The 25,340-nt window shown below is 39.1% G+C and overlaps 1 protein-coding gene across 3 annotated transcripts in view, besides 2 other annotated features; it reads left to right on the forward strand.

Annotated features, from left to right (window-relative positions):
* Window positions 4,448–4,637: an enhancer, noted in NCBI's record as "active region_23041". NCBI's record gives its function as "activates an Ori minimal core promoter by ATAC-STARR-seq in GM12878 lymphoblastoid cells {active_cell/tissue: GM12878}" and the evidence as "EXISTENCE:reporter gene assay evidence [ECO:0000049][PMID:35858748]".
* Window positions 4,774–25,340, forward strand: part of LYRM7 (LYR motif containing 7) — a 34,485-nt gene continuing 13,918 nt past the window's right edge. The window contains exons 1-4 of one of the 3 annotated variants that reach the window (NM_181705.4): window positions 4,774–4,868; window positions 13,925–13,997; window positions 16,059–16,129; window positions 20,858–20,939. In NM_181705.4, the coding sequence (NP_859056.2) occupies window positions 4,851–4,868; window positions 13,925–13,997; window positions 16,059–16,129; window positions 20,858–20,939 (244 nt within the window). In that variant the 5' untranslated portion in view covers window positions 4,774–4,850. The remainder of the gene's footprint in view (window positions 4,869–13,924; window positions 13,998–16,058; window positions 16,130–20,857; window positions 20,940–25,340) is intronic. The other 2 variants (NM_001293735.2, NR_121658.2) reach the window with 2 other exon arrangements.
* Window positions 5,548–5,597: a silencer, noted in NCBI's record as "silent region_16303". NCBI's record gives its function as "represses an Ori minimal core promoter by ATAC-STARR-seq in GM12878 lymphoblastoid cells {active_cell/tissue: GM12878}" and the evidence as "EXISTENCE:reporter gene assay evidence [ECO:0000049][PMID:35858748]".

Here is a 25,340-nt window from a genome sequence, read left to right on the forward strand (position 1 = left end):
TTGCAACCTCTGCCTCCCGAGTTCGAGTGATTCTCATGCCTCAGCCTCCCAAGTAGCTAGGACTACAGGCGCGCACCACCACACCTGGCTAATTTTTGTATTTTTAGTAGAGACAGGGTTTCCCCATGCTGGCCAGGCTGTTCTCAAACTTCTGACCTCAGGTGTTCCACCCGCCTCAGCCTCCCAAAGTGCTGGGATTACAGATGTGAGCTCAGCTGCCTTTTATGATTACATTACTACCCTTGTCTTGGCAAAATTATTGAATGTGGTTGCCTTTAATCTCAAAAGTGTCCATTTGGTACTTTTGCTATCAAAGACATTACTGGGACAATTCGTAAAATCTAAATAATGCCTATAAATTAGATAATAGTTTTGAAGTCATGTTAATTTCCTTTCATAACCACAGAAAAATTGTCAAAATCAGTTGATCTGGGGTGGGGCCCTACAAGTTAGGTTTCTAACTTTCCAGGTGATACAGTTGCTGCTGGCCCGGGAACCATACTTTAAGAACTACTGATACAAGGGAATGTCTTTGTAGGAAAAACCCACTGAAGTATTTAAGGCTATGGGTATCATGTCCGCAACTTACTTTCAAATAGTTCAGAGAAAAAGTGTCTGTCTATAGGTAATTAGAGAAATAGAAAAGGATAAAGCAATTACAATAAAATGTTAACATTTGGAGAATCTGACTGAAAGGCATATGCAAATTCTATGTATTATTCTTGCAACTTTTATGTGTCTGAAATTGTCAAAATAAAAAAATGTGTGCTGGTTTGGATAATAAATAACATGGTCAGCTTTCATTCCATCTGAAGGCTTTACCATCTATAGAGTAGTGACTCTCAAGTATTTGTCTCTTGACCTACCTCTTCCCTTAATTCCAGACTGGTCTGTGACATACATTACAGCCTATTGACCACCTCCACTTAGATGGCTACCAGGCACTGCAATTTTATTTTGACTCCCTCCACAACAAACAAACCAAAACCTCCTTTTGCAGGATTCTGTATCTGCTGTACCACCATTCACCCAGTCACTCCAGCCAAAAAGCCTTGAAATCATCCTTAAACCTTCTCTCTGTACTTTCAACACACATCACCAAGGATCTAATCACTTATCTCCTCTATCTCCACTACTCTAATCCAAGCTACTAACATCTCTTTCCTGGAGTACTTTGAAAGGCTCCTAGTTGGATAACCTATCTGCTTCCATTGTAGTTAATTTGCCACACAGCACCCAAAATGATCTTTATAAAATATAAATCATAATGTCACTCTCCTGCTGGTAATATGCTAGTGTATAACATCACAGAATAAAATCCAACATCCTTACCTTGGCTTATAGGGCCCTGTGTGATCAGGCCCATTGCTGCTGCTTCTACCTCATTTCTTTCCATTTCAACCTTATTGACTGGCATCACGCAAACTCAGTGTGCTAGGCAGAAGATGCCCATGTCCTAATCCCTGGAGCCTGTGAATATGTTACTTTACATGGTAAGTGGGATTTTGTAGATGTGATTAAGTTAAGGATCTTGGAATAGGGAGGTTCCTGCATTATCTAGGTGGGCCCAAAGTAATCACAACAGCCCTTGTAAGTGAAAGAGAGACACAGAAGAGTGAGAGTAAGAGAAGGAGATGTGACCACAGAGGCAGAGGTGAGAGTCTGAGATTTGAAAATGCTCGGCCGGGTGTGGTGACTCACGACTGTAATCCCAGCACTTTGGGAGGCCGAGGTGGGCTATCATGAGGTCAGGCGTTTGAGACCAGCCTGGCCAACATGGTGAAACCCTGTCTCTACTAAAAATACCAAAAATAGTTGGGCATGGTGGCAGGAGCCTGTAATCCCAGCTACTCGGGAGGCTGAGGCAGGAGAATCGTTTGAACCTGTGAGGCGGAGGTTGCAGTGAGCCGAGATCATGCCATTGCAGCCTTGGCAACAGGGTAAGACTCTGTCTCGAAAAAAAAAAAAAAGCTCCATTATTGGCTTTGAAAATGGAAGGAGTTGGGCCAGGTGCGGTGGCTCACGCCTGTAATCCCAGCACTTTGGGAGGCCAAGGCAGGCGGATCACGAGGTCAGGAGATTGAGACCATCCTGGCTAACATGGTCAAACCCCGTCTTTACTAAAAATATAAAAAATTCGCTGGGCGTGGTGGCAGGCGCCTGTAGTCCCAGATAATCAGGAGGCCGAGGCAGGAGAACGGCGTGAACACGGGAGGCGGAGCTTGCAGTGAGCTGAGATCAGGGAGGCGGAGCTTGCAGTGAGCTGAGATCATGCCACTGCACTCCAGCCTGGGCGACAGTAGGAGACTCCTTCTCAAAAAAAAAAAAAAAAAAAAAAAAAAAAGGAAAAGAAAATGGAAGGAGCCAAAAACAGGTAGCATTTTGTAAGTCAGAAGTCCAAATTGAGTTTCACTGAGCTAAAATCAAGTGTTGGCAAGGGTGCATTCCTTCTGGATGCTCTAGGGAAGAAATCATTTCCTCACCGTTTCCAATTTCTAGAGGAGGCTTGCTTGGTTTGTGGCCCCTTCCTCCATCTTCCTCCATCTTCAAAGCCAGCAGCAGAACATCTTCAAACTTCTCCCTGACTCTGCTTCCTTCTTTCACTTATAAGGATCCTTGTGATTACACTGAGTCCAGCACACAATCCAGGATAATCTTCCCATCTCAAAATACTTAATTTAATGACATCTTCAAAGCCTCTTGTCATATATAACATAGTCAGAGGTTCCGGAATCTCAACAGTTATCTTCTGGAGGCCATTATTCTGCCTACTACATAGCTCTGTGAACTTACATGATGAACATGCTGGAATTTCCTGTTCAGTTCTGCGACTTATACTTTGAGATGCAAACTTTAAAAAGACAATGAAATTTCAGAACCTTCCAAATTTATTAAGCCAAGGGGGCAAAGTTAAGCCTTGAAAACTGAGTCATGTAATACAGCTGTTTTTCTTCTCTGGTGCATGACTATTGTTGCTTCCCGACCTTTGTGTTGAGATGTTATACATTAATCAGACTCCCTATTCTTCGTTTCAAACCTGGACTACATAATATTAGAGCTGTAGACCCTTGTGATTGTTACTTTTTTACGATAGAATATTAAGCAACCACCTTAGAGTGTAATCAATACTAGCCAATCAGATCTTAAATCTGGATGTTATCCATTGTTTGGAAAATGTTGTAATTCTGTTTGGCATCTCCATTTTGTCTTATATAAACCATCTTCAATTTTCCTTACGCTGGAAGCACTGATCAGCATTCTTTGGTGTCTACATGTTCCCATATGACTGCCCTTACACTTTACAGTTGAATAAACCTTTTTAACTGGATCCTTAGCCTTTTGATTATTTTGGGGTGACAAGACAAACCAGGCCATGTTCCCAGAACAACTAGAATAGTGAAGAGCCCACCTCATATGTGGAACAGTTAAAGGAGACATGCAGATTTATTTAAGAAAAGAGGAGCCACAGAACTGAACTGATTCTGTCATTATAGAACTGTTTTAAAGTATCAGCAGATGAGGGACTTTGGTTAACTGAATTCAGGACAGTAGCTAGCAAGAAATCATCACAATAAGTTATGAATTTTCAGGAAGCTGCACTATGAGTCTACACTGAAAATGGGGGAGCGGGGACGGGGTATCTTTTAAATCACCGTCAGCATTCAGAAAACACAATGCAAGGTCCAAGATCATCTAGTTTATTGTTTCTCAGATAAAAGACAATATCCAGTATACTTGGTTTAATCGCTTCATTACGTTAAATGTTCTGCAAATCGAATGCATCTTAATTTTAAAAAATCGATTATCTTGTTATTCTCAGAATGACTTGCAATAATTCCTTAGAATAACATAGATCACAGAGAAAGAAAAGGGCCTTGGAAATCCATTGGTCCAGATCTTTCATTTTTAATAAGAAGTCAATTTTACCTAAAAGTTAACCTGAAAGGCTACACGGGTAGGGAAGGAGAACAATTATGCAATAGGAACAATAGGAAAAGGTTGTGGCGCGTTAGTAACGTGACTACAGAGTTTTTTCTTGATGCTTGCAAGGTCATAAGTTGAAACGCACTTAAATACTTATGATTGTTTCTAATTATGATGCTGCTGATTAATTACCCATTTCTGACCTCTTTATCAGCAAAACCAAGGAGTAGAGAGAGCTGAATAGGCAAAATGTAAAGGGTAAAACTAGGCTTTACGGTCAGGCATAGCGGATTTGCATCCCAGATCTCCATTTACTAAATGTGCGAACTTCAGCGAGTAATTTAACCTCACCTTCTATGGAAATAAATGAGAGAATATACGCATAAAATTTTTAGGAGTCAGTGTTCCAATCAATGCCCGCTGCAGCTGTTAGGACTTGGCTTTTATTTATGCACATTTCCAAAGAGATAGTCGCAACTGGGAAACGTTAAAATAAAGGTTCTTTTACAGACGATCCTATACCCTAAACAGGAGGTAACAAAACGCGGGTGCCGACGCCATCCACTATATACAAACCTAGTCCGCCTAGCAGACGATCCCTGCGCCGGAAGTGACTGTGCCCCTAACTAACATGGCGTCCAGGTGATTTCCGTTCTCTTCTGGCCAGTAATTGGGCTCTGCGGCTCCTCGCGATTTTACCAGTTCCCATCCGTTTAGCAAACGCCTTTAGCAAACGCCCGTTTAGCAAACGCCTCCTCCGTCCTTTGGAGGAGGGCGGGGCTAAAAGGGAGATGCTGCCTAGTGATTCGTTGTGGCGCATTAGTAACGCGACTACAGGGGGCTGGAAACAGTTCAGTCTTTGATTGGTTGCTGAGAGGCGGGGCTACTCGACTGCTCTGGAGGTAGCGGCCGCGGTGAGGAGAGCCATGGGACGGGCAGTCAAGGTGACAGGGCCCGGGAAGGGGTGGGTACGATGCCGTCGGGGAGGGTATGTTCGCGTCCTTGAGAAAACTGTCTGGAGTCTCTGGAGGCTGGGGCTCCTGACCCTTTATGGAGGATGTGGCTGTTACCCCAGAGAAGCCAGATGACCAACTCCTAGGGGCAGTTGAGGGTTTGTGCACGTGCGGAGGAGAGCGGGAGGCACCAGTGTGGTTCCTACTTCTTGGTACTAACTTGGTACTCAGTGTTTATCCATGATACAAATCTGCGACTTGAGTTCTGCCCTCGTTTCATCTTCAGACCGAGTATTTGTCTGAGGGACCCATTTCATATCCCTGGGAAGTATAGGAGACGCCAAAGGCTGACCTGAGCAACAGCAGTTCAATGAGGTGAAAGTTTATTCAGATAAACAGAAGGTGCACAGAAGTCTAGCAGCCAAGGAAACCGAACCCCAGCAAAGTTACTTGTCAAAAGTAACAGCAAGACAGAGCAGGGACTGGTGAGACCTGAGCTCACTGAATGAGCTTGGGATGTGATGGCTGTGCTCGGATTATACCTCTCTGAGTACCTACCTGGTCTCAGATTCATTTCTCACGCCCAAGCATGATGCACGTTCCTGCCCGGCGCACAATTCTCATTGGCAGCCATCCTTTAACGTTTAACATCAGCATGGCCAATTGGGATCTGTAGTTGTCACTGGCTGAAACATAAACATGAGGAAATAGCCTGCTATAATATGGTGAAGAAAAGCAGTGTTTATGTCTAGTCAATAATATGGGAACCACCAAGCAGCCTTCATGTACTTTTGTACATAATGTCACAGCACCAATAGAAACAGAATTGCTCAGGGTTATTCATTCAAAAATTTATTTGAATGTCCATAATAGCTATTATTATAGCCAACAACCAACATTTAGCCTATATTGTCTAAGCATAGTGGATGCAACAATAAGCTGAACATCCTTGCCTTCATAAAGAAATCTAGCAGGTGGGGAGACCTTAAACAGTTATTTAATTACAGTTGTAATAAATGCTTTGATTTGAAACTGCAGTGTTTTGTGAGCATATAACTAGGATTTCACATACGATCTCTCAAGGGGCTGGGTGCAGAGGCTCACACCTGTAATCCCAGCACTTTGGGAGACCGAGGCGAGAGGATCACATGAGGTCGAGAGTTCGAGACCAGCCTAGGCAACATGGTGAAACCCTATCTCTACTAAAGATACAAAAATTAGCTGGGCATAGGGGCGGGTGCCTGTAATCCCGCTACTCGGGAGGCTGAGGCACAAGAGTTTCTCGAACCTGGGAGGTGGAGGTTGCAGTGAGCCGAGACTGCGCCACTACACTCTAGCCTGGGTGACAGAGCAAGACTTCATCTCAAAAAATAAGTAAATAAATAAATAATCTCTCAAGGAAGTTCAGACCTGACGTTTGATTAGAAATTAGCTAGAGAAGAGAAAAAAGCATTCTAGAAAAGGCAACTAGCACATGGAAAGTCCTTGAAGTGGGGATTTGGTTGGAAAACTTGGATACAAATGGAATTAAGTAGGATTCATTCCAAAAACACTTTTGGTAGAGCCTACAATATATAGAAGGCACTTATGCTACATGTGGGAAGATACAAAGGTGACCAGTCCAACAAGGGTGACAACAAGATCCTACGTCCAAAAAAAAATAGGAAAGTGAAACCTAGCACAGAAATTATAACCCTTAAAATTAATCCATTATTCAAGAAAATTGAGGCAAAAAGGCTGTTACTTGTCCAAGCTTACATTAAGTGACAATCTCAGATTCAAACTCATCTGACTATAAAGAATCCACTTTTCATCTACACTGCCTGAATTGTCCAATCAGTATAAGTAAATGAGGAAGAGAATACAGTCTGTGACCTGGCTTTCTGCATTTTAATAAAAGTTTATCTGCTCCAAGGTAATGTTAACTCCAATAGTGCTATGGCAATAATGATAACATTTTCTTACACTAGTCCTCTTAAATTAGGGATGCTAATTTGTTGTACTAATGTTGTACTTTAAATAGCATGTAAAACCATTATGTTTACTTACTTCTCATTTTTTTAATCCCATGCAACATGTCTTCTCTGCTCTTGCAATATTAAAATCCCTGGGATTCTACGATGCTTGCAAAGCCCGTATTTTTACCAAGGCAATCCAGGCTTTTACTATCAAGCACCTCAGAGTTATTCCAGCCTCTACACATTACTCAATTCCAAAGCCACTTCCACATTTTTAGATACAGGCATACCTAGGTGATGCTGCAGGTTTGGTTCAAGCCCACGGCGACGAAGTGTATATTGCAGTAAAGCGAGTAATACAAGTTTTTTGGTCCCAGTGCATATAAAAGTTATGTTTACACTATAATGTAGTCTATTAAGTGTGCAGTAGCATTATGTCTTTAGAAAGTACATATGTTGGCTGGGAAAGGTGGCTCACGCCTGTAATCCCAGCACTTTGGGAGGCCCAGGTGGGCGGATCACAAGGTCAAGAGTTCGAGACCCATCTGGCCAACGCAGTGAAACCCCGTCTCTACTAAAAATACAAAAATTAGCTAGGCTTGGTGGCACTTGTCTGTAATCCCAGCTACGCTACTCAGGAGGCTGAGGCAGCAGAATCCCTTGAACCCAGGAGGCAGAGGCTGCAGTGAGCCGAGATCGCACCATTGCACTCCAGCCTGGGCAACAAGAGCAAAACTCCATCTCAAAAAATAAAAAATAAGGAAGTACATACCTTAAATAAAAAAATACTTTTTTGCTATAAAATGCTAACAATTATTTGAGCTTTCAGAAAGTTGTAATCTTTTTGCTGATGAAAGATCTTGCCTCGATGTTGATGGCTGCTAATTGATCAGATTGGTGGTTGCTAAAGGTTAAGATGACTGTGACAATTTCTTAAAATAGGACTACAGTAAAGTTGACCACATTGATTGACTCTTTCACACACAAAAGATTTATCTGTAGCATGCAATGCTGTTTGATAGCATTTTACCCACAGTAGAGCATCTTTCAAATTGGATTCAATCCTCTCAACCCCAGCCACTACTTTATCAACTGAGTTCATATAATATTCTAAATCCTTTGTTGTTATTTCAACAATGTTTACAGCATCTTCACCAGGGGTGAAGTGATGTGAGTGATGATCTTCATAAACTCAAGAATCCACTTTCTTTGCTCATTCATGAGAAGCAACTCCTCATGCATTTAAGTTTTATCGAGATTGCAGCAATTCAGTCACATCTTAAGGCTCCACTTCTTATCCTAGTTTCACTTGCACTTTCCACGTATCTGCAGTTAATTCCTCCACTGAAGTCTTGAACCCCTCGAAGTCATCCATGAGTGTTCAAATAAGTTTCTTCCAAATGCCTGTTATTGTTGCTATTTTGGCCTCCTCTCTTGAATTCTCTGAATGGCATCTGGAATGGTGAATCCTTCCCAGGAGGTTTTCAATTTACTTTGCCTAAATTCATCAGAGGAATCACTGTCTATGGCAGCTATAGCCTTATGAGTCTTTTAAATAAGACTTAGAAGTCTGGCTCACACCTCTAATCCCAGCACTATGGGAGGCTGAGGTGGGCAGATTGCTTGAGTCAGGAGTTCAAGACCAGCCTGGGCAACATGGCAAAACCTGTCTCTACAAAAAGTACAAAAATTAGCTCAATGTGTGGCATGCGCCTGTGCTCCCAGCAACTTTGGAGGCTGAGGTGGGAGGATCGCTTGAGCCCAGAAGATCGAGACTTCAGTAAGCCATGATCGTACCACTGCACTCGAGCCTGGGTGACAGAACAAGGCCCTGTCTCAAAAAAAAAGGACTTAAAAGCCAAAATTACTACTTGGCCTTGACCTGCGGGGCTGCAAAATGGATGTTGTATTGGCAGTCATGAAAACAATATTAATTTCCTTTTACATCTCCATCAGAGCTCTTGGGTGATGAGGTGTGTTGTCAGTGAGCAGTAATATTTTGAAAGGAATCTTTTTTTTTCTGAGCAGATCTCAACAGTGGGCTTAAAATATCCGCGAACCATGCTTTAAACAGATGCACTTTGTTGATTTGTAGAGCACAGGTAGAGTAGACTTAGCATAATTCTTAAGGGTCCTAGGATTTTGGAATGACAAATTATTGGCTTCAACTCAAAGTCACCAGCTTCAATCTCTTTTTTTTTTTTTTTTTTGGTGATGGAGTTTCGCTATTGTTGGCCAGGGCAGAGTGCAGTGGCGCAATCTCGGCTCACCACAACCCCTGCCTCCCAGGTTCAAGCAATTCCCCTGCCTCAGCCTCCCGAGTAGCTGGGATTGCAGGCATGCACCACCATGCCCGGCTAATTTTGTATTTTTAGTAGAGATGGGGTTTCTCCATGTTGGTCAGGCTGGTCTCAAACTCCTGACCTCAGGTGATCTGCCTGCCTTGACCTCCCAAAGTGCTAGGATTACAGGCATGAGCAACATGAGCAACCACGCTCGGCCTTTTTTGGGTGTGTTTGTTTGTTTTGTTTTGTTTTGTTTTGTTTTGAGACAGGGTCTCACTCTGTCACCCAGCCTGCAGTGCAGTGGTGTCATCTTGGCTCGCCGCAACCTCTGCCTCCCAAGCTCAAGAGATCCTCCCACCTCAGCCTCCCGAGTAGCTAGGACTACAAGCACCCTCCACCACGCCTGGCTAATTTTTTTATTTTTTGTAGATACAGGGTTTGGCCATGTTGCCCAGGCTGGTTTTGTTTTGTTTTGTTTTGTTTTGTTTGAGATGGAATCTCGATGTCACCCAGGCTGGAGTGCAGTGGCACCATCTCGGCTCACTGCAACCTCCACCTCCCAGGTTCAAGCAATTCTCCTGCCTCAACCTCCCAAGTAGCTGGGATTACAGGTGCCCACCACCACACCAGCTAATTTTTTGTATTTTTTAGTAGAGACAGGGTTTCACCATGTTGGCCAGGCTGGTCTTGAACTCCTGTGCTCAAGCGATCCACCCACCTCAGCTTCCCAAAGGGCTGAGATTACAGGCGTGAGCCACTGCATCAGCCTGCGTTAGCTTATTAAGAGCTAATTAAGCTCTTATTAATAAGGATATTTCACATTTTACTTCCCCGTTCATGAGTTCATGGACATTTAGGTTATTTCTACTTTTTCACTATTATGAATAATACTACCATGAACATTAGCATACATGTTTTTGTGTGAACATGTTTTCATTTGTCTTGAGTATATACCTAGTAGTAGAATTTCTGGGTCATAAGATAACTGTAGGTTTAACTTTTTTTAGCAACTGCCAAACTGTTTCCCAAAGCAACTGTACCATTTTAAATGCCAAACAATGTATAAGAGTTCCTATTTTTCCATGTCCTTGTCAACTCTTTTTATTGACTGTCTTTTTTACAGTAGCCATTCTACTGGGATGAAATGGTATCTCATTGAGGTTTAGATTTGTGTTTCCAGATGGCACATGACATTGAACATCTTTTTATGGCTTATTGGCCATTTATGGGTTTTTTTTTTTTTGGAAGAAATATCTATTCAAATTCTTTGACTTTTTATTTTTCTTAATTTTATTTTAGATTCAGAGAGTACATATGCAGGTTTATTACATGGGTAAATTACATAATGGTGAGGTTTGGGCTTCTAGTGAACCCATCACCCAAATAATGAATATTGTACCCAATAGGTAATTTTTCCACCCTCAACCCCTTCCTATCCTCCTCCCTTTTGGCGTCTCCCTTTTGGCGTTCTATCCACAAAGGCGTACCCTTTGCTTAGCACCTACTTATAAGTCAAAATATGCAGTATTTGATTTTCTGTTTCTGAGTTATTTCATTTAGGATAATGGTCTCCAGCAGCTGCTGCAAAGGACATGATTTCATTCTTTTTTAGTATTCTATGATGTATATATACACCACATTTTCTCATTTGTGTCCTATAAAGCAAACAGCTGCCCTCACAGTTCTACTAGCACCTAGTACTTTAACATCTTTGATGTTATTATTGCTATAAAAATTACCCACAGCTGAGCCCTTTAAGTACATTATATGATTGTCTTTTTTCCCATTTCTTCATCTTTAAATTAATAACTGCCTTTTAAAAATTATTACTTTTTAAAAATATCCTTTAATAGATATCCTAGATATCTGTTCCCAAATTCTAGGCAAAACCAGTCTACCAGTTTCATTTTTCCTTGCAATAACTTTCCTGGAGCAATTCAGTCTTTTGCTATAGTCCTGCCTAGTTGCTTTCTAGTCTGGCTGCACAAATGTTGACTAGCATTTGTCCTTCCCCATGGTCTTTGCCTCTCCCATGTTAGACTACCTGTCTCCTGGGTTCCCATGTCTTTTCCTTTTGTGATTCATTTCCTTATTTTGGTGGAGGATATTCTTCTGTAGCTTTCCAATAAAGTGTGTATGACAGATAAGAGACTTTGCATTTCTGAAAATATGTATTTGCCCTTGTCTTTGAGTGATAGTTTGAGTATCTATGGTGTTCTAAAGCAGACATTTTTTCAAAACTTGAATATGTTATTCCATTGTCTTCTTACAGTGGTGCTATTTAGAAATCAGGTACCATTCTGATTTTTTCCATCCTTTACATGTGAAATGTTGATTCTCTGAGATTGTTCTCATTATCAGCATTGCACTGAACTTAACATCATGCTGTGCTGTGTTATGAGTTTTATGTTGGGCACTTGGTGGAACCCTTTCTATCTTGTAATTCGTGTGCCTTACTTGGTGAAATTTTTTTTCTTCCCTTTTACCCAAATATTAAGTGAAAATTTTAAAATTTCTTCCCTCCCTTTTCTCTTTTCTCTCTTGTTGGCCCTTCTGCTAATCTAGCTGTTGGGCCTTCTCCCTTAATTTTCTTATCTTTCCTCTCCTCAATTTCTGTTTCTGAACTTTTATTCTACATTCTGGGCAATTTTTCTCAACTTAATCCTTACTTTCACCTGTTTGATAGCCAAGAGCTTTTGGGAGTTTTTGGAATGTTCCTTTTTAAATTTACTGTAGCTTTTCATTGATGTTATTCCATCTCTGCGATAACATGTTTCTGAGGAAGTTTTTTATGGCAGCTTGGTTTTTATTTTTAAATTTTTTTGCTCTGTTTCTTATTTCTGTTTTCATGTCTGCCTTTGATGTTATAGGTTTTCTAATATACGTAAAACACTTAAAATGGTGTCTAGCACACAGTATGCTTAGTAAATGTTAGACAGTATTTGCAGAACAGACTGGAGGACAGGAGGGTGTGGTGGCAAAGTGACAAACCTTTGTAAGTAGTCTAAGAGATGGGGAGTGCCTGAACATAAGTGATTTTGTTGAGAGAGGATAAAAGAAAGATTACAGAGACATTTCTAAAGTTTCCACGACAAGAGTAAGGTATAATAAAAGGATGACCTACTGATTTCTGGCTTCAGAAACTTGGTGGCCTCCAATAAGTAAAATAGAGAAGAGTGGAGGAAGAGCAATATTGAGAGAACAATATTGAGTACCTTTTTGGACTTGAGAAGTGTGAAGTGACCTCAGCATATCACTAAAGCCTCTTCACAATCTGTCTTTTACCAAAATGCCAGGCTCTTTTCTCTCTTTTTATTTTTTTCAATACAGACTCAGAATATTCATAAGTCTCAACATTTCACTTATCTTTTATGAAATAGCAATTAAAAGGGCCAGACGTAGTGGCTCACACCTGTAATCCCAGCACTTTGGGAGGCCAAGTCAGCGGACCACGAGGTCAGGAGTTTGAAACCAGCCCAGCCAACATGGTGAAACCCCGTGTCTACTAAAGATAACAAAAAATTAGCTGGGCGTGGTGGCACACGCCTGTAATCTCAGCTACTTGGGAGGCTGAGGCAGGAGAATCGCTTGAACTCGGGAGGTGGAGGTTGCAGTGAGCCGAGATTGTGTCATTGCACTCCAGCCTGGGTGACAAGGTGAGACTCCGTCTCAAAAAAAAAAAAAAAAAAAAAAAGGGAATAGCAATTAAATTTGTCTAAATTGTTTAAAACATCTTCCTTCTGTGGCCTCTTTTAAGATGCAATAAATTCATAATTTTGCATATGTGTGTGTATGATATTGAGCAGATTAAAACTTCAATAGGTTAAGAAAAATGAGAACAGATACATACCAGACTGGTAAAGTAGCAGACTGGTTTTTAGCATGAGGATTATTAACTTTTTAACCATCCTTATATTGTTTTATTTATTTCAAAGAACTTTGTATTATTTTTGTAAATAAGGCTAAAAATGTTTTTAATGTAGAGATAAATAATCAAAGGAAAGTTATTTTGGCAAGTCCTGGTTTTCACCAACTATTTTTAAAAATAGTCTATGAAACAAACAGAAAAGGAATACTGTTTAATCCTTATAATACGATTTGTGTGAAATGTGAAATGTTTTCCTTTTGAGGTCTGAATTCTGATTTTCTTTTTCTTTTTCTTTTCTTTTTTTTTTTTTTTTTCTTTTTTTTTTTTTGAGACAGGGTCTTGCTCTGTCACCCAGGCTGGAGTGTAGTAGTGCAGTCAGAGCTCATTGTAGCCTCAACTTCCTAGACTCAAGCAATCCTCCCACTTCAGCCGCCCAAGTAGCTAGGACCACAGGTGCACACCACCATGGCCTGACTAATTTTAAAAAAATATTTTGGCCGGGTGCAGTGGCTCACTCATGTAATCCTAGCACTTTGGGAGGCCAAGGCGGGTGGATCACCTGAGGTCAGGAGCTCAAGACCAGCCTGGACAACATGGTGAAACCTTGTCTCTACTAAAAATACAAAAATTAGCCAGGCTTGGTGGCAGGTGCCTGTAATCCCAGCTACTCGGGAGGCTGAGGCAGGAGAATTGCTTGAACCCAGGAGGCGGAGGTTGTGGTGAGCCAAGATCACACCACTGCACTCCAGCCTGGGTGACAGAGTGAGACTGCAAGTCAAAAAAAAATTTTTTTTTTGTAGAGATGGGGGTCTCACCATATCGCCCAGGGTCTCGAACTCCTGGGCTAAAGCGATCCTGCTACCTCAACTTCCCAAAGTGCTGGGATTACAGGCATGAGCCACTGTGCCCAACCTTGAATTCTGATTTTCTTAACAGGTTTTACAGCTCTTTAAAACACTGCACAGGACCAGACAACAAGTTTTTAAAAATGATGCCAGAGCATTAGAAGGTAAGTATGTTCTTTACCCCTTTGGAGCCAGTCTACTTTTTAGATAACTACTAATCTCTCTGAGAAACCCTGTGTGGTCAAGACCCATTTTAGGGAATGACCTTCACTACCTCTCTCTGATATCTTTTATAAAGATTAGCTTATATTACACTTATTTGAGAAATATCTACTTAAAGAAAAATTTTTAAAGATCAAGTCTTCATAAAGAGTTGGTCAAAAAAAAAGGCGAGGGACCAGAATTTCAGTGTTTATCATTGCTTGCCTTATATTCAAGCCATTGAACTTTCTGTTACATAATCAAATTTTCACAGTCTCTAGGACCAGATATTACCATGTTGTTAATGTCTTATATCAGTCTAAAAGAGCAGCTGTGAAAGAGAATCCATCCCAAATGATTCTAAATTCAGTATCTCCCTGTTTTAAGTAGTTTCTATCTTATCTGGAAGTCACAGGCTCTGAAACTTAGGTTCTGTGTTATTCATGTTCAGTTCCACTCCTCATACATTTATGAACCTCCTTAAGAGTGCACCTAGGTAAAGTGTCCCCACTGTTTCCAGGGATTTAAGTTTTTGTAACTCATCAAAAATAATTTCTGAACAAATAAGATATATGTATTGTATTATATGTACTTTACATGAATTCCTGATTTAATTCTTGTAACATTTCTGTAAGATAGTTGCTATTATAATTCCTATTTTTACAAATGAGAAAATTGACAAAATGTGAAAATATCTGTCCCACATCATACTGAGTAAAAGGTGGACCTGGGATTTAGTCTAAGCAGTCTGATTCAAAAGTCCAAACTCTAAACCACCTTACGTATTGAAATATATGCAACATAGGCTGGGCTCAGTGGCTCACTCCTGTAATCCCAGCACTTTGGGAGGCAGAGGCAGGCAAATTACTTGAGGTCAGGAGTTAGAGACCAGCCTGGCCAACATGGTGAAACCCCACCTCTACTAAAAATACAAAAATTAGCCGGGCATGGTGGCACACACCTGTAATCCCTTGAGGGAGGAGAATTGCTTGAACCCAGAGGCGGAGGTTGCAGTGAGCCGAGATCATGCCACTGCACTCCAGCCTGGGCGACAAAGCAAGACTCCATCTGAAAAAAAAAAAAAAAAAAAAAAAAAAAATATATATATATATACACACACACACACATATATATAACATATATGTTATATATATATTAACATATATATGTATATATAATATATACATATATATTATATATACATATATATGTTTATATATATATAACATATATATGTATATATATATAAAACATATATATGTATATATATATAACATATATATGTATATATACACACACACAACATAGAAGGAAGTTTTTATGGTAATTATCAACATGGAATATTTTTGTTGCTTTAAATTTTTCAAGTGGAATAGTTATAAGAACAGCTAACAATTTGTTGCATATTTGCTAAGCACTTTATACGGATTGTTCCATTAAACGCTCACAGCAGCACAATAAGACCAGTGAGATTCTACCAAAGTATGCTGCTATAATGATATCAAATTCTCAGTGGTATATGTAAACAAAAGTTTTATTTGTCACTCACTTTATATGTCAGCCAAGACACTTAAAATTTTACATATATGTACACATATATCCTGTTTGCTGCCAATCTCTGTGTATGTGTGTATGTAGTTTAACATACTTGTATGTATTGAATTTTACCATCTTAAAAAAGCATTTTAATAGAAATCCTTAGATTTGTAAAAATAAAACATTAAATTAGATTTATTATAATTCAGTAGCTATAGGTATACAAATGAATTTGAGAGTAAAAATCAGTGGAAGAAAAAATATTAGAGTGCCAAAGGTTTATAGTAGGTTTACCTACAAACTTGTCACCCTGTCAAAAGCTCTCCAAGAGACTTCATTAATAAATTTCTTATTCTTATGCTTTGTTTTTCATGAGGGCAATTTCTATAGTAGAGAAGTAGCCATTCATAGTGAATAATGTGTCAATTATTGAGATAGGAATTATAGATTACAAAAGCGAATAACTATATGTATTTTTCTCTTTGTAGCAGCCAGAATAAAGATAAATGAAGAATTCAAAAATAATAAAAGTGAAACTTCTTCTAAGAAAATAGAAGAGGTACAGTAATTTTTTCAATTATAGTAAAACTTATACAATTATCTTGTCAAAGAGGAAATGATGAAGATAGAGGGGTTATGTAAAATAAAAACCATTACTTGATAGTTAAGGCCATCACAACTGTAGATAACCTTCACTTATTTGGTATGGCTCACCTCCTCAGGCTCATCTGCCGACACCAAAATACAGCAAGGTACCCCATCAACAGAACATGGAAATAGCCATGATCAAAGCCAGAACAGCTGAACAAACCCAGAAACCTACAGAAATTCTATCTTCACTTAAAGCAAGTGACTGGAACTAAAGAGAATGAGTGTTGTAGTAACTCAGAACTACAGAGGAAACTTCTACTCTTAACTGAACTAAGCGGTTAGATATTTATTTTTAATCCCATCTTGGCAATGACAAACAGCCGCAGTATGAACTATTCTTGCTTTGCTTTCTGTATTTGCATTTTGGTCACTTGCTCTAGTTGAAGACACTGTACAGACACTACTTTCTCAGCTCCCTAATACTCCTAGTAGAAGTTTATTGAAAAAAATGCACAATTTTTCTTTTCCTATATATTATGTATTCTGGCATATACATATTATCTCTGTCCTCAGCTTCCTATGTCTAACTATATAAAGGTAAGGAAAGGACCCTTAGGAAGAAAACAAAACAAAAAAATGGAAAATAATTTGCAAGATAGTTATGGTTCCAAGAATTGATTTGGTTCCAAGAATTGATATGGTTCCAAGAATTGATTCCTTTAAAAAGAATCCTTTTTAAAGGAAGGTACAAACTAGAGAAATTTTCTATGTTCATAGAATTTCCAGATGTTTAAAAAAAACTGATAAAAAATGCATTTATATTTAGTGGAGAAAATGCTATTTTTGAAATAGTAAATACCTTTAATAATGGAGCTCATGAGACAAAATGAGATAGCCTAAGTATTCCCTCTCTATAAAATAAACAAAAAGGGAAAGATTTTGCTGAAACATGATAGGGCAAATAGGGAATATGTAATTTTTATTCATGGCAGAAATTAAAATGACCATATAATCAACTCATGACTTGAAGGGAAGTTAAAAGGTATATGAGGAAGTTTGTACTGTTTGCTATTCAGTAGACTAATTCATAACATATGATAATTTTTTAATTTTGAAATTATGATTAAAGACTTTTAAATTGAGGTCTGTTTATATCAAGTAAACTGGGAAAATGAACTACAATCTCCCAAATTCATTTTACTTACAGAGCATTAATTTAACATTAAGCAATCTAGAAATTCCATATTTGTTATATACAAATGTATATTTTGTACTTTCTGCAACTGAAAAATATTAAGATTTTAGTAATTTTAAAATAATTGCTTTGTTATTAGAGGGTTGATACAGTCTTGGCACTAAAAGGAATCTCAGGCATCCTCTCTAGACCAGCAGTTCTCAAACGTGGTCATCTCAAAGAACCTTTACACTCTTACAAATTGAGGACCCCAAAAAGCTTTGTTTATATCATTATTTACCATATTAGAAATGTAAACTGAGAATTTTTAAAAATATATATTGATTAATTCATTTTAAAATAACAATTTTATTATATGTTAAAAAGTAACATGATATTTATGAAAAATAACTATTTTTAAAAATGTAGTGAGAAGAGTGGTATTGGTTTTTTTGTTTTTGTTTTGTTTTTGTTTTTGTTTTGAGATGGAGTTTCGCTCTTGTTGCCCAGGCTGGAGTGCAGTGGCATGATCCCAGGTCACTGCAACCTCCACCTCTGGGTTCAAGCAATTCTCATGCCTCATCCTCCTGAGTAGCTGGGATTACAGGTGCATGCTACCACACCCAGCTAATTTTTGTATTTTTAGTAGACGGGTTTCACCATGTTGGCCAGGCTAGTCTTGAACTCCTGACCTCAGGTGATCCACCCACCTCAGCCTCCCAAAGTGCTGGGATTACAGGCGTGAGCCACTGTGCCCAGCCCCCTGCAATATGTTTTTTAGGTTGAAGTATATGAAGAAAATTCAGCCTTACACAGATTTGTAGTTGGAAAAGAGTAAAACAATTAGATAATTGTGATTTTTTCTTTTCTTTATTTTTTTGGGTAGAGAGGAGGTCTTGCTTTGTTGCCCAGGCTGGTTTCAAACTCCTGGCTTCAAGCGACCCTCCTGCCTTAGCCTCCCAAAGTTCTGGGATTACAGGCATAAGCCACGTAATTGTGAATATTTTTTAATACTACGCCTTGACATGAGGTAATTTCTTTTTTTTTGAGACGGAGTCTCACTCTGTCACCCAGTTAAAGGTTAGTTCCAATGTGCAACTCTGTTATCTGTCAGACAAATGGAATTTTTTTTGGCGGGGGGGGGGTTCCAGGATTCATGCAGACCACCTCCTCCTCATCTTCTCTGGACCCGCCTAATCCCTTATTCCTCAACTAGCCTTGTTTCCAGCCTTATATCTAGGACTTGACTCAGTTTATGTACCTCCAGTGGCTGAGGAGACCCATTATTTTCTCCTTCTCTGCCCTGCTAAGCCCCTTCCCAGGTGTCAGGAGATGAGGCTTTGCTCTCCCACAGCTCTCTCCATGGCAGTTAATTCCAGCTCCCTCCTTTTGATGCTCAGACCAAAAACCTTGGTGCTTTCTTGACTGCTATTCTTCTCTCACACTTATATCCAATCTGATAGCAAATCCTGTTGACTTAAATATCAAAATATTAATATATACAGAACTCAACTACTTCTTATCCTCCCTGTAATTATCTCCGAGTCCAAGCCACCATCATCTCTCTTGTTATAACAGCCTCTTAATGGGCCTCCTGCTTCTAGCCGCACTCCCTACAGCCTATTCTCAGTACTTTTAAAAACAGAATAAACCTTAAAAAAAGAAAAAAAAAGGCATATCTCAGCACTCTACTACTCACAACCCCATGACTCTTCATCTCATTCAAGAAAAATCTAAAGTGCTTAACATGACCTACAAGACTGTCATCTGACCTTTGTTACCTTGCCACCTCAACTTGAACCACATCCCCCTCATTCTTCCAATCTCAGCCCCTTCTTTGAGGGTCCTTGAATTTACCAAAAAGTTTCCTCACTTAGGGTTTTTATGCTGTTGCCTCTTCTTGGGATATTCTCTTCCATGCCCTCAAAGCTTCGTTTAGGTAGACCAGTGAACTTTAATTGATATTTCCCTGTGAATGGATTTTTTACCCATGCATGATTTTGTAACATCACGCAGTGATGATTTAGAAAATGCAGGTTCATTAAATACTACAGATCTTCCAGATATTGACATAGTTCATTACATATTTTTAAATTATATCTATCAATACTAATATCCATCTCATCAGAAAAATCTTTAAGGCTGGGCATGGTGGCTCACACCTGTAATCCCAACACTTTTGGAGGCTGAAGTGGGAGGGTCACTTGAGCCCAGGAGTTCAAGGCTGCAGTGAGTTATGATTACACCACTGCACTCCAGCCTGGGTGACAAAGCAAGACCTTGTCTCAAAAACAAAGCAAGAAAAAAATATTTAAGTATTGTGAAGCTATCAAGCTTACCCTGGCAGATACAAGTTCTCCAGAATTCTGATATTTGCTTGAAAGCTTCAGTTTTGTCATTGTCAGCAAATACTGTCAGTTGTTTTCTTTGAAGTGACACACTCTACTTTTCTAAGAAAATAAGAAAATATCTGCCAAATAGCTAAGTCTAAATAATCTTAATTTGTCAGTGGTTCTGTAAAGGTAAAAAATGGTATTTTGATGGAGAAAGCTCTACTGCTGACAACTCAAACCATGCAGAAGGCTGTAGTGTTTTGAAAGTAATTTTGACCTCACAGATCCCTGAAAGGGTCTCAGGGTCTCTCAAGTACATATTATTTGATGAGGTCTGAAACTCAAAGAGAGTAGGTGATTAACCCAAGGCCATACACTTAATGACACAGCCAAAGTTGGAGTTCAAGTGTTCTGAACATCTAATTCTATAAAAGAAAGATTCAACTGCCCTCCCAAAAATGTGCATTTTAAACACACTTAAAAATACACATTGTAACAAAAAATACTCTAAATCTGTTTTGGAAGAAAATATAGAATTGATAGATAAAAGTTAAAACTATATGCATATCTGAGCTTTCTATACTAGTTGGAATGGTTATAAAAAGTTAAAAGCAGTACCGTAGTCCCCCTTTATCATTGGGGAATACATTTTAAGATCCTCAGTGGATGCCTCAAATCTCTGATAGTACCAAATCCTATATACTATGTTTTTATTATATATACTTTCCTATGATAAAGTTTAATTTATAAATTAGACACAGTACTCTTGTGCTTTGGAGCCATTATTAAGTAAAATAAGAGTTACTTGAATATAAGCACTGCAGTGTGGCAACAGTCAATCTTGATAACCGAGATGGCTACTAAGTGACCACAGGTGGACAGTGTATACAATATGGATATGCTGGACAAATAAATGATTCACATCCCAGACAGGCTGGAGCAGATGGCATGAGATTTCATCATGCTACTCAGAGTGACATGTGATTAAAAACTTATACATTATTTATTTTGGGAATTTTCTATTTAATATTTTCAGACCACAGTTGACCACGGATAACTGAAACTGCAGATAAGGAGAAACTACTGTATTACTTGAAAAGAAATTATAGTAAAACTATCGTTTTCAAAAACAGTACATTCATATGAAACACCTAAAGGACTTACTCTATTTGTTTGGTTTTCTTAACAGCTAATGAAAATAGGTTCTGATGTTGAATTATTACTCAGAACATCTGTTATACAAGGTATTCACACAGACCACAATACACTGAGTAAGTAAAATTAAAGAAAAATGGTTTCTAACTGCAATGTGTTTTAAAATATTGAATAATTATAGCACATGTAATGCTGAGTGATAAAACAGCTTGATTTTGCCAGACAATATGGTATATAGCATATATATTTTACAAGGTTATAGTCTATAAGACTGAATTATGAAACTTTGTTTTGCCACATTTGTTTCAATTTTTATTTTTTATTTTTATCTTCTTATATTTCAACACTAATTATGAAGACAGTACAACTATATATTTTTATCATATTTATTTACAGTTCTTAATTTTTCTGGCATCATTTATCACTTACCTAGACTATTTCTTTACCTTTTACTCTATAATGAGTTTTGTTTTTTGTTTTTTTGTTTTTGTTTTTTTTTTGGGTTTTTTGAGATGGAGTCTCACTCTGTCGCCCAGGCTGGAGTGCAGTAGTGCGATCTTGGCTCGCTGCAACCTCCACCTCCTGGGTTCAAGCATTTCTCATGCCTCAGCCTCCCAACTAGCTAGGACTACAGGCACACACCACCCATGCCCAGCTAATTTTTGTATTTTTAATAGAAACAGGGTTTTACTTTGTTGGCCAGGCTGGTCTCAAACTCCTGACCTCAGGTGATCCACCTGCTTCAGCCCCCCAAAGTGCTGGTATTACATGCATGAGCCATTGCACCTGGCCTATAATTAGTTATTTTAATTCAGAAGATTTAGGATTATAGGAAATGGAAATATAGTTGAGGATCCTCCATCATATCTCGAGACTCCAGATGGTGCTTCAGCAAAATCTCATTTCACATAATATTTTGTTTTTATTCTCTAAAGTATCTTTGGGGACAGTAACAACAAAAAGATGACATTCAAAATTGTTGGCCAGGTGCAGTGGCTCATTCCTGTAATCCCAGCACTTTGGGAGGCCAAGGCAGGAGTCTAGATTGAGCCCAGGAGTTCAAGACCAGCCTGGGCAACATGAAAAAACCCCGCCTCTACAAAAAATACAAAAGTTATCAGGATGCAGTGGTGCACACCTGTAATTCCAGCTAGTAGGGAGGCTGAGGTGGGAGGATCACTTCAGCCCAGGAGGTTGAGGCCTTAATGAGCCGCGAGTATGCCACTGTACTCCAGCCTGGGCGACAGAGTAAGACCCTGCCTCAAAAAATATATATATTGAAAGGCTTTGTTTTTTAAGCAGACTATGGAAGTATAACATACAAACAAAAAAGTACTCAATTTGTAATTGTATAGCTCAGTGAATTTTCATAAAATGAAATACCCATGTAACCAACATGTAAAACAAGCCACATGTAAAAAAAAAAAAAAAAAAAAATTGGCCTTTCTGATGGATATGTGGTGGTATCACATTGTGATTTTAATTTATATTTCTCTGGTAACTAATGAATGATGAGGACCTTTTCAGTTGTTTAGTGGACATTTGGATATTCTTTTTTATGAAGTGCCTGTTTGAGTCTTTTGTCCATTTTTCTAAGGGGTTGTCTGCCTTTTTATTGTTGATCTAAAGGATTTCTTTGTATGTTCTGAATATAGAAATTTGGTGGGTATATGTATTACAAGAATCTTCTACTTTGTGGCTTTCCTTTTCACTTTGGTAATGTTATCTTTCTGTGAGAAGTTCTTAATGTAGTCATATTTATGGATTTCTTAATAATTAGTGCTTTTTAATTCTATTAAAGAAATCTTTGACTAGCTCAAGCAAGATCGTGAAGAGATTCTCCTGTGCTTTCTTCCAAAAGCTTTATTGTAGGCTGGGTGCAGTGGCTCACACCTGTAATCCCTGCACTTTGGGAGGCCGAGGCGGGTGGATCACTTGAGGTCAGGAGTTCAAGACGAGCCTGGGCAACATGGTGAAACCCCATTTTCACTAAAAATACAAAAACTAGCCAGGCATGGTGGCGCATGCCTGTAATTCCAGCTACTCAGGAAGTAAGGGAGGAGAATCACTTGAATGTGGGAGGCAGAGGCTGCAGTGAGCCAAGATCATGCCACCACACTCCAGCCTGGGCAACAGAGTGAGACTCCATCTCAAAAACAAAAACAAAGGCCAGGCGTGGTGGCTCAACGCCTGTAATCCCAGCACTTTGGGAGGCCGAGGCGGGCGGATCACGAGGTCAGGAGATCGAGACCATCCTGGCTAACACAGTGAAACCCCATCTCTACTAAAAATACAAAAAATTAGCCAGGCATGGTGGTGGGCACCTATGGTCCCAGCTATTCTGGAGGCTGAGGCAGGAGAATGGCATGAACCCGGGAGGCGGAGCTTGCAGTGAGTCAAGATCGAGCCACTGCCCTGCAGCCTGGGCAACAGAGCAAGACTCCGTCTCCCAAAAAAAAAAAAAAAAAAAAAAAAAAAGCTATATTGTTTGATCTTTTCCATTTGGTTGTTTATATCAACTAGAGTTGGTTTGTATATGGTATGAGATGGGAGGGTCAAGATTTATTTTTTTACATGTGACTATCCAGTTGATCCAGCAACACTTATTGAAAAGACCACTCTTCCCCCTACTACTCTACAGGATCACCTTTGTCATAAAATCTAAGAACTATATATGTGTGCATCTGTTTCTGGACTTTATAATCTCTTCAATCTGTTTTTCTGTCCTGCATCATATACCTTCATGTCTTGATTTTTACAGCCTTATAATAGATCTTCCTACCTGGTAGTATAAGTCCAAAGGGCTTTTAAAGTTACTTTTAATTAATGGGGACTTATCAGAAATTATTAGATCTTGGGCTGGGCACTGTGGTTCACACCTGTAATCCCAGCACTTTGGGAGGCTGAGGTGGGCAAATCACCTGAGCTCAGGAGTTTGAGACTAGCCAGGGCAACATAGTAAAACCCTGTCTCTACCAGAAATACGAAAAATTCACCAGGCATGGTAATGTGCACCCATGGCCCCAGCTACTAGGGAGGCTGAGGTGGGAGGATCACTTGAGCCTGAGAGGCGGATATTGCAATGACCCGAGATCGCACCACTGCACCTCAGCCTGGGTGACAGAGCCAGACCCTGTCTCACAAAAAAAAAAAAAAGAAAAGAAAAAAAAAGAAATTATTAGATCTGAGTTATGGTTTTTTCGTTTTGTTTTGTTTAGTTTAGATGGAGTCTTGCTCTGTCTCCTACGCTGGAGTGCAGTGGTGTGATCTCGTCTCACTGCAACCTCTGCCTCCCGGGTTCAAGCAATTCTCCTGCCTCAGCCTCCTGGGTAGCTGATATTACAAGCGTGTACCGCCACACCCAGCTAATTTTTGTATTTTTAGTAGAGACGGAGTTTCACCATGTTGGTCAGGCTGGTTTCAAACTCTTGATCTTGTGATCCGCCTGCCTTGGCCTCCCAAAGTGCTGGGATTACAGGCATGAGCCACCGTGCCCTTTTTTTTTTTTTTCTTTGAAACGGATTTTCGCTCTCGTCACCTAGGCTGGTGTACAGTGGCATGATTTCCGCTCACTGCAACCTCCACCTCCCAGGTTCAAGTGATTCTCCTGCCTCAGCCCCTCAAGTAGCTGGGATTACAGGAGCTTGCCACCACGCCCAGCTAATTTTTGTATTTTTAGTAGAGACAAGGTTTCACCATGTTGGCCAGGCTGGTCTGGAACTCCTGACCTCAGGTGATCCACCTGCCTCAGCCTCCCAAAATGCTGGGTTTACAGGTGTGAGCCACTGCACCTGGCTGATCTAAGTTATGTTTATAAGGGCAGAAAACATAGTTAATCCTAAACTTAAGATGTGTAGTCATCAGCTTTTATCTTAATAATGATCTTTAGAGTTTCTGTGTAGTATAGCCAACATTTTATACAGGTAATCACAGATATATATTATTTTTATCATATGAATAAAGTTTTAGGTTATTTTAAATAACTAAATTTAGTATCTATTTCAAATGCCTTGTTTTAGATATAACACTATTGAATATTATTTAGATTTCTTTTTATCCTTTGGTTTTATGTATACTTTAATTTTCCCACAGAATTAAATATTTTGACTCTTTTATGAGTATTAATACATATTGCCTTAATAATAGCCTCATTCTTTCTGTGTGTGTGTGTATATATATGTATACACACATATATATACATATATATATGTATAGGTCCAAAATGTAAGAAATTTGATTCCTTAATCTCTCTTTCTAAAAGTTACTTTAAGCAAAATTCCTTCAAATATTTTAGCAGTGTCTATACTGTCACGTAGAAATGACAAGAATAAAAATTCTGCTTCTTGTTTAGAAAATGGAAAGTTGTGATTATGTGTTTCTAAAAAATATAATGTCTCAAAATGAAAAATAATAGAAATTGAAAGTAATAAAATGAAACTTCATTTGGAAGAGTAATCACCTTGTATGCGTGAATTCTAAATCAATCTCTCTTTTTCTTCCATTCAAATAATATCTAC

The sequence above is a fragment of the Homo sapiens genome, chromosome 5 (genome assembly GCF_000001405.40).
Source record: "Homo sapiens chromosome 5, GRCh38.p14 Primary Assembly".
Lineage (NCBI taxonomy): Eukaryota > Metazoa > Chordata > Mammalia > Primates > Hominidae > Homo > Homo sapiens.